This window comes from Homo sapiens, chromosome 14 (assembly GCF_000001405.40).
Source record: "Homo sapiens chromosome 14, GRCh38.p14 Primary Assembly".
NCBI classification, from domain to species: domain Eukaryota; kingdom Metazoa; phylum Chordata; class Mammalia; order Primates; family Hominidae; genus Homo; species Homo sapiens.
In genome coordinates, this window is record NC_000014.9 from 100,959,117 (window position 1) to 100,972,359 (window position 13,243).

General features: G+C 35.5%; 1 long non-coding RNA gene and 8 other non-coding genes across 9 annotated transcripts in view; all 9 read left to right on the plus strand.

The window, feature by feature from the left end:
• MEG8 (maternally expressed 8, small nucleolar RNA host gene) overlaps nt 1–13,243 on the plus strand; it is a 109,465-nt gene that overhangs the window by 69,468 nt on the left and 26,754 nt on the right. Inside the window, exons 25-33 of the long non-coding RNA NR_146000.1 lie at nt 945–1,103; nt 1,911–2,016; nt 4,849–4,884; nt 5,237–5,323; nt 7,529–7,619; nt 8,523–8,670; nt 9,532–9,608; nt 10,343–10,429; nt 13,146–13,230. This is a non-coding gene — a long non-coding RNA (maternally expressed 8, small nucleolar RNA host gene). The remainder of the gene's footprint in view (nt 1–944; nt 1,104–1,910; nt 2,017–4,848; nt 4,885–5,236; nt 5,324–7,528; nt 7,620–8,522; nt 8,671–9,531; nt 9,609–10,342; nt 10,430–13,145; nt 13,231–13,243) is intronic.
• Nucleotides 3,938–4,013, plus strand: SNORD114-7 (small nucleolar RNA, C/D box 114-7). The gene has a single exon (NR_003199.1). It is a non-coding gene; the product is annotated as a small nucleolar RNA, C/D box 114-7 (small nucleolar RNA).
• Nucleotides 5,665–5,735, plus strand: SNORD114-8 (small nucleolar RNA, C/D box 114-8). Its single transcript, NR_003200.1, has one exon. It is a non-coding gene; the product is annotated as a small nucleolar RNA, C/D box 114-8 (small nucleolar RNA).
• On the plus strand, nt 6,913–6,983 carry SNORD114-9 (small nucleolar RNA, C/D box 114-9). Its single transcript, NR_003201.1, has one exon. It is a non-coding gene; the product is annotated as a small nucleolar RNA, C/D box 114-9 (small nucleolar RNA).
• SNORD114-10 (small nucleolar RNA, C/D box 114-10) lies at nt 7,936–8,006 on the plus strand. The gene has a single exon (NR_003203.1). It is a non-coding gene; the product is annotated as a small nucleolar RNA, C/D box 114-10 (small nucleolar RNA).
• SNORD114-11 (small nucleolar RNA, C/D box 114-11) lies at nt 8,995–9,068 on the plus strand. Its single transcript, NR_003204.1, has one exon. It is a non-coding gene; the product is annotated as a small nucleolar RNA, C/D box 114-11 (small nucleolar RNA).
• Nucleotides 9,832–9,905, plus strand: SNORD114-12 (small nucleolar RNA, C/D box 114-12). Its single transcript, NR_003205.1, has one exon. It is a non-coding gene; the product is annotated as a small nucleolar RNA, C/D box 114-12 (small nucleolar RNA).
• SNORD114-13 (small nucleolar RNA, C/D box 114-13) lies at nt 10,763–10,835 on the plus strand. Its single transcript, NR_003206.1, has one exon. It is a non-coding gene; the product is annotated as a small nucleolar RNA, C/D box 114-13 (small nucleolar RNA).
• SNORD114-14 (small nucleolar RNA, C/D box 114-14) lies at nt 12,987–13,060 on the plus strand. Its single transcript, NR_003207.1, has one exon. It is a non-coding gene; the product is annotated as a small nucleolar RNA, C/D box 114-14 (small nucleolar RNA).

Consider the following 13,243-nt stretch of genomic DNA (forward strand, 5'->3'; position numbering starts at 1 on the left):
GTTATGATCCATTAATAAAAATAGACCAAGCTTGTGACCCAAGTCAGTAACCTGCATATACACATATGTGAATACTCATTGTCTTTATTTCTGGAGCTTTTTAGTTTATACTTGTTTTTGTTTTCTCTTTTAGTAAATTGAAAACATTATATAAATACATAAATCAAAACATAGGTAAGGAAGTTAGAGGAAGCTAAGCATGGACTACTTATGAGGATGTGTTTTTAAGCAGGGATTATAACTTAATCCATTTTAGTACAATGGAGCACGATTTAAAAAGAGATCAGTGTTTTCCATTCTCTTTTCATAGCTATGTATTATTCCATTTTGGGTTTTACTCCTGTTTATGCAACATTCCTTGATGGATAACAATCTATGGGTTAGATCCAAGGCTTAAATTTTACGTAGTTGTGTTTTTATAAGTCATTATCAGGGTTTTAGATGTTGAATGGGGTGATGACTTGATGGTTGTTCGTTGTTCCATCTTAAACGTATGTACATGTTAAATGAAGAAAAGGCCAAGCACCAATCAGTGATATGAATGGATTGATTGATCAGTTTTATGATTAAATTCATTTCTGCACCCCTGCAATTTATTTAAAAGGGAGATTTGGTATATTAAATCTATGGAAATTTCAATGGAGTGATTGTCTCATGCTTTTCACACCTGTCCTATATTCCACAGAATGGACATCATGATTGGGATTGTCTTTATTAAACTTTGTCAGGAGAGTAAAGATCAATGTGGCCACATGTTGTGGCTCATGCCTGTAATCCCAACACTGTAATCCCAGCACTGTAATCCCAGCCTGTAATCCCAGGCTGAGGTGGGCGGATCACCTGAGGTTGGGAGTTCGAGACCAGCCTGACCAACATGGAGAAACCCCGTCTCTACTAAAAATACAAAATTAGCCGGGCATGGTGGCGCATGTCTTTAATTCCAGCTACTCAGGAGGCTGAGGCAGGAGAAACGCTTGAACCCGAGAGGCGGAGGTTGCAGTGAGCTGAGATTGCGCCATTGCACTCCAGCCTGGGCAACAAGAGTGAAACTCCATCTCAAAAGAAAAAAAAAAGAAAACAAAACAAAAAAAGAAAAAACCAATGTAAGTACCTGTTAAAGTTCTTGCTATGGTTCCAGTGGTTTGCTTCCTAACTGTGTTATTTAGAAATTTGAAGTATATTTAATGAATGTCCTCCCTTCCCACTGGCCCTGCCAGGCATGCTGCCATCTGTTCTCTGGGACTTGTGAGTAGTACACTGCTCCTGTTATTTCATGTGCTTTGCTAAGTTGTTTCTTCTGTGTCTCAACTGATCAACACACCCAGACCTAACTGATTTCCAGGTTGGGGCTCTCCTAGAGAGTGCCTCTCTTGGTAGGAATAAACTGGACACAGACAAGAGCCTCCATGGTGTCTGCCTGTATAACCAAGTTTTCTATGAGAGGGACAATGGGTCATAGATTGAACACTTGGGCATTACATCTGTGAGAATAAGTCTATAGTAAATTTCAGTAAATTTGAGGGATCTAATTATGGGGTTTCAGTAGATCCTGGGGATTTATTGCATTATTCGAAGGAAATAAATGAAAGAATCAGCAAAACATACAGACACACATATAAATAATTAAAGATGAAGAGGATAAAGCTGGATTAATTGAGGAAAATGCTATCAGACAGGAATTTTTGGTTCTGTAATTCTGAAACACTGCAATGCATTAAGAAACCTGTACATCAAGGGTGTCACCTGTCTAGGGTAGGGTAATATAGAGTAGTTGTTCTCAAATGCGAGCATTGGAGTGACCTGGAGGGCTTGTAAAATACAGAAGGTCACCTACATTCTCAGGATTTCTGATTCAGTAGGTTTGGTGTGGGGTCTGAGAATCTAAATTTCTAATAACTTAATTTCTGTAGGTTCCAATAGTTTCCCAAATCATGCTGATGCTGCCTCCTGAGAAATATTTTCAGAATCACTGAGAAAAATGTATGAAATAGTTAATGTCCTTGCTCTGTGTCAGTGGTAAGTTCCAGTTTGTTTATTTTATTGAGAAAAAGAAGGTAATTAATTAATTAAGCAATTAATATTTATTTATTTATATTTGAGATGGAGTCTCACTCTGTTTGTTGCCCAGGCAGGAGTACAGTGACGCGATCTCAGCTCACTGAAACCTCCACCTCCCAGGTTCAAGCAATTCTCCTGCCTCTGCCTCCCGAGTAGCTGGGATCACAGGCGTGTGCCACCACGCCTGGCTAATTTTTGTATTTTTAGTAGAGACGGGGTTTCACCATGTTGGCCAGCCTGGTCCTGAACTCCTGACCTCAAGTGATCCGCCCACCTCAGCCTCCCAAAATGCTGCAATTACAGGCATGAGCCACTGCACCCCACCCAATTAATATTTAAAAGTCTAAGTAAATGAAAGGGGAACAACATGGCTCAATGGAGAAATGTCTAATTTATATAACATCATTGTTATATTGTACAAAATGGATGCACCTTAGGTGAGTTAAGCATTCTGAAAAGACCAGGCTTTCTAGGATACTGCTACATTTTAGGAGATTAGAAATCAGTGGAATTGGCACAGTCTTTGTCCGTTGAGTGGGTTTTCATGGGTGTTCATTGTACATCTTTAAAATGAGTGAATGACTACATACATGAATAAAATCAAACAAGGACAAGCCTATACTAACGATGAAGAACCAAAATTTAGGATTAATTTGATTTAGTGTTATTTAGGATGGTTTTTAAAAAAGATCAAGTCCCTATCACAAATTGCTCTGTTTAGAATTCTACTGCAGGTTTTCCCTAAGCATTCCTCAAGTGATAAAGATGTAAGTTACGAAGAAGGGACACATAGGAACTAGAAGCACTTGTCAGCGTTTTCTTCTGGTGGTTGAGTCGTGTTTATGTAGAAAGAATATACAAATTATGTGAAAAAAGGCTAAGGAAGGACCAACGATGCGAGTGGAATACATTCTGAAATGTGTTTTATGATCAAAATATCTGTGACCTACTGCGGTCCACTACAAAGAGGGATTTAAGTGTTTATATCTGTAGGAATGCCTACAGATAGATTTCAGTGATATTCAGGAATCAGGTTCTCAGTCTTTGGTGCTTCATGGATTTTGATTTTGTTGTTATTCAATAAGTGAAAGAATAAATAAATATGTCAGTGTATAAAAATGAATAGAATGAAGTTATCTAACTATGAAAGTATGGGGTGAGGCAAGAATTATTATTAATATAACATAGAACCACTGGAGTTCAGTAAGTAATGCTATCTTTACCCCAAAATGTAACCCCTTAATGCATCAAAGGGGTTACATTTTGGGGTAAGGATAAGTAAGCAAGATTGTGATGTATGTTCTTGCTTTGAGTCAGTGATGAGTTCAAGTGGCCACTTACTGCAGAGGGAAAAAAATAAATTATGCCATAAAATAATAAATACCTAAATGACTGAGCAAAGGAAATGGGGAAGGCATGTATCAGTGGAAAGAATATCTCAGCTTTCTGTTATTTGCTGTGCTTATATTCCTCAGAATGAAAGCTCCTAGGTGATTTAAGCATTCTACTGTGGCCATGAACTCTTATGTGTTAGGAGCATAGAAACCAATGTAAGAGTCAAAGCACGTGTCTTAGTATGAGTGGCTTGTTTAAAAATATTCACTGTACTGTTTACAAAATGTTTAGTCAAAGAAGTTGACTATGGTGTACTATGGCATTGATATGAAATGTATGTTAATTAGTGGATATATACAACACAAATTAATTAATGAAGGTTATATTTGCTGAGTGAATTTACTCTGTAGACAGTTATGGATACTTAAGAATACTGTTCTGTGGAATTTGTGGTTCATGTACATTTATTTTATTGTAATTAATCTATTGAAGAACTAATAAATCAACAAATATAGAAATGGATGAGGAAAAAGATGTCAAATCCTGAACTAGTGGTGATGGCTTGTGGCATATTTAGTCACAGATGATGAATAAATACATGCCTGAGACTCTGAGGTTAGTACCTAGACAGAGATCTAGTCTGTTATTTTTGATGGATGTAGTCCTGTAGGATGATTAGTTATACACAAAGGTGATGTTCTTGGACTTTTGTAGTTCATGAGTTTTGATTGTATTGTTACAAAGCAATCAATGACAAAATATATACAATTGCATGAAGATGAAGAGGGTGAAACATTGTCCAATTATGAAATGTGAGGTGAGGCCTGAAATACTATTAATATAATTTGAAAGTCCTAAGGTCCATAAGTAAATAAGTGGATCAAGGGTGTCACCTCTTTGGTACAGTATCATATAGACCAGGGGTCCCTAACCTCAGGGCTGCGGACCAGTATCAGTGCCTGGTGTGTTAGGAACCAGGCCACACAGCAGGAAGTGAGTAGCAGGGGAGCAAGCATTACCACCTGAGCTCCGCCTCTTGTCAGATCAGTAGTGGCATTAGATTCTCATAGGAGCAGAACCTGTTGTGAATGGTGCATGCCAGGGATCAAGGTCACATGCTACTTATGAGAATCTAATGCCTGATGATCTGAGGTAGAACAGTGATCTGGAAACCACCCCTCCCTGCCCTGGTCCGTGGGAAGATTCTCTTCTACAAAACCCATCCTGGGTGCCAAAAATGTTGGGGACCATTGGTATAGACAGTGATAAGTAACAGTCAGTGTTATTGTTCTGCATCAATGGCAAGTACCATCCTGTCCTATTTTTAGAAGAGACAAATAATAACATCAATTAGTAAACATTTACGTGAATAAATAAATGAAAGTTGGAAAGCCATTGTCAATGGAGAGAATGTCTCAACTTTTTAATCACTGGTTCTCCTTTATATTCCTCAAGGTGGAGGCTGTCTGCAGTAGGAGCATGGAGACCAACGTGAGTAACAATCACATTTTATGTCTTGGTTTGCGTGGTTTATCTAAGGGTATTCATTATATAATGGCATATGAAATATCAAACAGGGCCAAATGCACCCCAGTAATGAAGTTGGGATTGATGTAAATTATGTTCTTTGATATATATAAAACATTGAGGCTTTCTGTATCAATCAAGTTTTATTTTCTGGGTTGGTTGCAAGTTTGACATTGTTCCTGTTGTTGAGACAGAGAGAAAGAATACACATATATAATGAAAAATTAATAAATAAGTCAATGAAATTTGGAAAGGAGGGATAAATACAGATAAGGTCTTCATTTTTTTCATCACATGTTCTGCTTTGCAATCCTAGAATGGATGCTCTTAAACTGATTTAAGCACGCTTCCATGGTCAGAAGCCTTATGGTTGCCACAGGGTATTAGGAGCATGGAGACCAATGTGAGTAATCATCAAAGTTTGCTTCTTGGTGTGGGTTGTTTGCTTAAAGGTATTATTATTCACTCACTATATTATTGAAAAGAGTGAATTATAATCAAAGAAGACCAATTGTTGTGCAGTGACAAAATTGATATAAAGCACTATATAAATTAATGGGTATATGAAAAACTGAAGATAATAAAGGAGAGATGATGACATAAGATGACTTTATATACAGACTAGAAATATCAAGTTTCTCCTTGGGTTTTGTGAATATAGGGCTTTAAAATTATTAGTGAACGAATTAACTAATCAATGGATAATGTGGAAGTGAGAGGAGAAAAAGAGAACCAATCCTGGATTGATGATATGATGGCCACTGGTGGCTTATGAGTCTTATACAGTGAATACATGTTTGAAACTCTGAGGTCTGTTAGAAAAGATACATGGCCCATTCTCTCTGTTTCAAATGATGCTACAGAAATAATTCAGAAATGTTTTTATTTGTGATAATTTCATTCTATTTTTATAATTGGATCAATGTGAGAATCAATAAATAAGTATATAAATAAAGATAAAGTGGATGAAGCATTGTTCAGGTATGGCAGGATATATTATTAATATGTATTGAAAACAGTGGCGTCCAAAGAGAAATAAATGGTACATGCCTGTCACCTCTTTGGACAATGATGACATAGTTAGTATAATTATAGACAATGTTCAATTTTTTGGTTAGTGGCAAGTTCAAAATTGTTCATTTTCTTAAGAGAAAATGAAATAAGTATACTCCAGAAAATTACTGCCTAAATGACCAACTAAATGAAAGGTGAAAGGCAAAGATAAATGGTGATAATGTCTCAAATTTGTTATCATCATCTCTGCTTTGTACTCCTCAGAATGGACGTAGTTGTACTGTTTTAAGAATTCTTCCATGGTCCTCTGCACCGTGCTTAGGAAGGAGCATGCAGACCCATGTGATTAATGATCAAAGTTCTTGTCTTGGTGGTTTGTTGAAGAGTATGTCATGTATTATAAAAAAGTTTGTAATAGGCTGGGTGCGGTGGCTCATGCCTGTAATCCAAGCACTTTGGGAGGCTGAGGGGGGTGAATCACCTGTGGTCAGGAGTTTGAGATCAGCCTGGCCAACGTGGTGAAACCCCGCCTCTACTAAAGATACAAAAATCAGCTGGGTATGGTGGTGGGTGCCTGTAATTCCAGCTACGCAGGAGGCTGAGGGAGGAGAATCACTTGAACCCGGGAGGCGGAGGTTGCAGTGAGCTGAGATTGCATCATTGCACTCCAGCCTGGGCGACAGAGTGAGACTCCATCTCAAAAAAAAAAAAAAAAAGTTTATAATACAGAGACGGCCAATGTTATTATCCCAATGATAGATATGAGAGTTATATAAAGTATTATACTGATAATGCATAGATGAAAAACTGAAGACAATTAATAAAACAGATATATCAATGTTAGAATGATTCTAGATACAGATATGGAACATCCAGGTTATTCTTGGGGTTTTTTTTGAACCATAGAGACTTATTAGTGAGTTAACAAGTCAGTCAGTGAACAAGATAGAAATGAGTGGAAAAAGAGGTGATCAATCTTGGATCGATGATGACTGCTGGTGGCGTATGAGTCTTACATGATGAATACGTGTCTGGAACTCTGAGGTCCATCACAGAAGTAGAGCTCCTTCCGTATGTTTGAAATGATCCTATGTGTATAGATGTCAGAGATACAGAATTTATTTGTTTATGGCCTTTGTTTTTACTTATTTTCATTGCATTATTATAGTTGCTCAATGTGAGAACCTATATATATAATTTATATATATTATATAAAAAGATGAATAATGTTAATCATTGCCCAATTATTAAAATCTGTAGTGAGGCAAGAAACATTTCATGTGTATTGAAAACATGAAGTCCAAAGAGAAATAAATGGGACATGCCTGTCACCTCTTTGGCCAATGATGATATAGCCAGTATAATTATAGAGAGTGTTCAGATTCTGGGCCAGTAGCAAGATTGAAATTGTTCATTTTCTTAACAGAAAATGAAATTACTATGATTAATGAAATGAAATTTCCTTAACAGAAAATGAAATTAATATGAAGTCCAAATAACGATTGCATAAATGACTAATTATGGGTGAAAAGCAAGAAACAATGGTGACAATGTCTCAAATTTGTTTTCATCTTCTCTTCTCTGTACTCATCAGAATGGATGTCCTTGTTCTGATTTGAGGATGCCTCCAAGGTCACATACTCTGTTTGCACCACGCTTAGGAAGGAGCGTGAAGACCAAGGGGAGTAATAGTCAAAGTCCTTACCTTTGTTTGGGTGGTTTGTTTAAGAGTAATCAACGTATTATTTAAAAGTGTGAAATACAGTCAAAGATGGCCAATGTTATTCCAGTGATATGGGAGTGACATGAAGTATTATATTGATGATGCATATATAAAAAACAGGATAGTTAATGAAACACCCAATGTTTGAGTGATTCTGTATACTGATAGGGAATATCAAGAGTGTTACTGGGTTTTGTGAATCACGGGCCTTGAAAGTATTATTAATGAATAAATGACATAATCAATAGACAAGGTAGAAATGAATAGCAAAAAAAAAGAAGATCAATGATGACTACTGTTAGTGTATGAGTTACACATGATGAATACATGTCTGAAACTCTGAGGTCCATCACAAAAGAAATCTGGCCCATTCCTTCTGATTCAGGTGATCCTATGAATATACAATGTGTTTGCTTTTGGTCTTTGGGTTTGTTCACTTCACTGTATTATTATAATTGGATCAATGAAATAATTTATACGTATACATGTACGTATATGAAGGGGATGAAGTATTGTCCAATTATAAAATAAGTGGTGAGGCAAGATGTATTATTATTATTATATTAAAGCATTATATTAAAGCTTTAATATATTAAATAAAAATCTAATATTAATATATAATTAATGCAATATTTAATATATATTAAATATGATAACATATTAAAATATTATATTAAAGCATTGAAGTCCTAAGGGAAATAAATGGTACCCCACTGTAACGTCTTTGACTAAGGATGATACAGGTGGTAGTTATAGATAATGGTCAACCTCTGGGTCAAGGAAAGTTGCACAAAGTGTTCATTTTCTTAAGAGAAAATGAAATAATTATCCTTCAGATAGTGATTTCTCAAATGTTTTCCTAAAGGGAAGATGATAAACACAGATCATGGAGGACTGTTTTATCTGTTTGTGATCTGCCGTCCTCTGTGAGCCTCAGGATGGATGTTTGCCAGCCGATTCCATGGTTACAAGCTCTATAGCTGCATCTATGTGTTAGGAGCATGAAGACCAATGTGGGTAATCGTTAATGCTCCTTCTTGTTTTGACCATTTTAAAATGTTATTTGCTATATTATTAAAAAGTATTAAACACAATAAAAGAAGGGGAAATATGCAATATTTAAAATCTGGATTAAAAACTTTAGGTTAATTAATGCATATGTGAAACATTGAGCTCAGTTAATGAAAGAAATATGGTCTTCGTGGAAATGATTATATGGATGAATGTTAGGGATATTCAAGAATCATATTCTTTTTTTGAAGACTTAGGTGTATTTCCTTGTTAGTGAATTAGTCAACAAACAAATTTAGATGGTAATAGAGAAAGAGGGCTGATCCTGGACCAGTGATGGTGACTGGTGGTGTGTGAGTCATGCACAGTGAATATCATGTGTCTGGAACTCTGAGGTCCAATACAATGGGATCTGGTCCATTCCCCCTTATAAATAGATGTCAGGATACAGGATATAGAAGGATCTTCTTCATGATCTTCGTGCTCATGAATTTAAAAAAATATTATTGTAAAAGAATCAAGGGCAGGATGAATAAATCAGTGTATAAATGAAGAAGATAAGGAGGTGAAGCATTGTTTATTACTAAAATACGTGTTAAGAAAAATGGATTTTAATTTAAATTGGAATGGATAATATAGGCATGGATGAAAGGTGTTATGTCTTGGACCAAAAATAACATAGATTGTGATAGGTTATAGTTATTACTGTCAGTTAGTTGCAACCTTGAAGTCTATTTTATTAATAAATATTACCATTAATTAATAAAAGCCAAAGTGACAATGTAAATGAATGGTGAAATGTATGGATTGATGCAAAGAATGTCTCAATATTTTTATCATCTTCTCCACTTTGCACTCTTCAGAATGGATGCACTGAGCTGATTATGAATTTAGCCCTGATGAAGACTTGTGTTGCTGTCATGATATGAAAGATTCCAGTGTGAGTAACAGCCAAGTTCTTGTGTTGTTTGGGTGGTTTGTTTAAGGATATTTACTATGTTACTGAAAATAAAAAAAGTCAAATAATGTGTATGTATATATAACGAATATTGGTGATAGAATTGAATTATGTGAACCATAAAATTTTTATAATTATTATACATGAATTACTGAATTTATCAACAAATAATGTCGAATTGCATGAAGAGAAAGTGGGCCCTTCCTGGACCAATGATGACAAATACCGGCGTATGAGTCTTGGATGATGAATAATACGTGTCTGGAACTCTGAGGTCCATCAGAAAAGAAAACCAGTTCTTTCTGCTCATGTATTTTCATTCTGTTATTATAATTGGATCAATAAAAGAATGAATCAACAAATATATAACTAAATAAAGATGATTCGTGTGAAGCATTGTCCAATTATAAAAATAGATGGTGTGGCAAGAAGTAATATTAATATGTACTGGAAACTCTGAAGTCCAAAGAGAAATAAATGGTACATGATTGTTAAATCTTTGGCTAAGTATGATGTAGACAGTAATAGGTAAATATCTGTGTTGAGTTTCTGGGTCAATGGCAGGATTGACATTGTTAGCCTACATAGGAGAAAAATAAGCATTATTACAAATTACTAATTATGTATGACTGACTAACTGGAAAGAGGAATTAAAGGACCAGTGGAAAGAATGTTACAACCTTTTAAAATCATTTGCTCTGCTCTGTGATCCTCAGAATGAACGCACTTGAGTTGATTCAAGCACGCTTCCATGGTCATGAGCTCTGTGGTTGCATCTGTGTGTTAGGAGCATGCAGACCAATGTGAGTAGTAATCAGTGTTCTTATACCAAATCCAGCAGTTTTTAGAATGGTATTTGCTGCATTATTTTAGAGTTTTAAATATAATCAAATAAGAGAAGTCTGCCCATGTTCAATATCACATTGATATGAAGCATCTATGCAAAAAGTAATGCATCTATGCAAAAGCTCAGTTGATGAAAGAAATTTGGTCTGTGTGGAAAGGATTATATAGATGGATGTTAGGGATATTCAGAATATAATTCTTATTTTTCTTTTCAGATTTTTGTGTATTTCTTTGTTAATACATTAATAAATAAACAAATTTAGATGGGAATAGAGAAAGAGGGCTGATCCTGGACCAGTGATGACCACTGGTGGCATATGAGTCATACACATGAACACCATGTTTCTAGAACTCTGAGGTCCAACACAAATGGGATCTAGTCCATTCCTCCTTTGTGAAGGGATCCAATGGACAGATATCAGGATATGCAAGGATCTTTTTCGGGATTTTTGTGTTAGTATTTAAAAAATATTATTGTAAAATAATCAAGGGCAGGATAAATAAATGAATGTATAAATGAACAGAAATGAAGAGAGTGAAGCATTGTTTATTGCTAAAATATGTAATAAAGAAAATGGATTATTAGTATAAGTTAGAATGGATAATATATGGATCGAGTTTATTATGTCTTGGATTAAAGATGAGTCAACTGTGATGGATAATAGTTATTACTCTCAGTTACATGTTTGAAGTTCATTTTATTGAGAGAAAAATAAGCAAATATTCCTATAAATTATTATTATTATTATTATTACTTTGAGATGGAGTTTTGCTCTTGTTGCCCAGGTTGGAGTGCAGTGGCACAATCTTGGCTCACTGCACCCTCCGCTTCCTGGGTTCAAGTGATTCCCCTGTCACAGCCTCCCAAGTAGCTGGGATTACAGGCACCCGCCACCACGCCTGGCTAATTTTTGTGTTTTTAGTAGAGATGGGGTTTCACCGTGTTGGCCAGGGTGGTCTCGAACTCCTGACCTCAGGTGATCCACCCACCTCAGCCTCCCAAAGTGCTGGGATTACAGGAGTGAGCCACTGCCCTGGTCCCATAAATTATTAAAAACCAAAAAGATGATACAAACGAATAGTGGAATATATCAGTCAGTGGAGAGAAATTCTCCATTTTTTATCATCTTCTCTGGTTTGTGTGAAGATGAATCAGAATGGATGCATCAAGTGGGCTTCTGCTTGATGGAAACCTGTATTGCTGTTGCGTTTGGAAAGAAACTAATGTGAGTAATAGCCAAAATTTTTGTCTTCCTTTGGGTACTTGTCTAAAGGTATTCACAGTATTATTAAAAATTTTAAATTATTATAAAATTAACCATGGCCCAATGGTTAACATAATATAGAACAGTATGTTTATTAATCAATAATGTGCCACACAGAGGTGAATGAATGAAAGCGACATTGTCTAATGTGGAAAAGGATTCTGTAGACAGATGCTTGGTATGTCTGGCATCATGTTCATAGGTTTTTGTGAATCATGTTCTTATTTTACTCTTATAAATTGATTAATGATTTATTCAAAACAAAGGTAGAAATGAGTGAAAATTGAGACCAATGATGGCGTGAGCCATATACAATGAGTAAAACATGTCTGGACTTTGATGTCCAACACAAAAGACATATAGTCCATATTCTTGATATAAGGCATCCTCTAGGCCCATGTTGGGAATATCCGAGGATCTTGGGCTTGATCTTTGTGTTCATATATTTTCATTCTAGTATTATAATTGGACCAGTGAAATAACCAATCAATAAGTAAATAAATTAATGAAGTATTGTTCAAATTAAAAATATGTAGTGAGCAAAGAAACACTACTAATATATTATGAAAACACTAAACTCTAATTTGAAATACATTTTACATGACTCTTACCTCCTTAGCTCAGGATGGTGTAGATGGTATAACTTACAGACACTGTTCATGTTCTGGATAGATGGCGATTTTGAATTTGTTCATTCTCTTAAGAGAAAAAAGTAATCTAAATGTGTGATTACTGAAATGACTGACTAAAGGTGAAAAGCAAGGATTAATGGAGAGAACGTCTCAGATGTCTGTTCTTCTTCATTTTAAAATCATCTATTCTGTTCTGTATTTCTCACACTGGACCCATCTGAGCTGATTTAAGAATTCTCCCATGGTTATGACTGTATGATTGAATCTCTGTTAAGACCAATGTGAGTAAGAGTCAAAATTTTTGTCATGGCTTGGGTGGTTTGTTTAAGGATGTTCAGTATATTATTAAAAAGTGTGAAATATAATCACAAAAGGCCTAATGTAAACATCGTAATTTGGGATTAATATGAATCATTATATTGATTAATGCATATATGAAAAACTGAGGATAAATGATAAAATTTAAATACTGACATGTGAATAATGATGGCTACCTAACAAATTGGTATGCTTTTGTTGGAGGTTTGTGAATCATAGGCTTTAAAAAATATTATCAGTGAATTTATGAATTAATCAATAAACAATGTAGTAAAGAATGAAGAGAAAGCGGGCCTTCCTGGACCAATGATGACAACTGCCGGCGTATGAGTGTTGGGTGATGAATAATACGTGTCTAGAACTCTGAGGTCCAACATACAAAACACCTCAATAAGCAAGGATCAGTGGAGGAATATCTAGTTTAAAAAAAATCATCTTCTCTTTTTTGTACTCCTCAGAGTGATAATCTCGAGGTGATTTATGCATTCTTCCATGGCCACCAGCCTTATGATTGCATCTGTGCGTCACAGCTTAGAGATCAATGTGAGTAATAGTC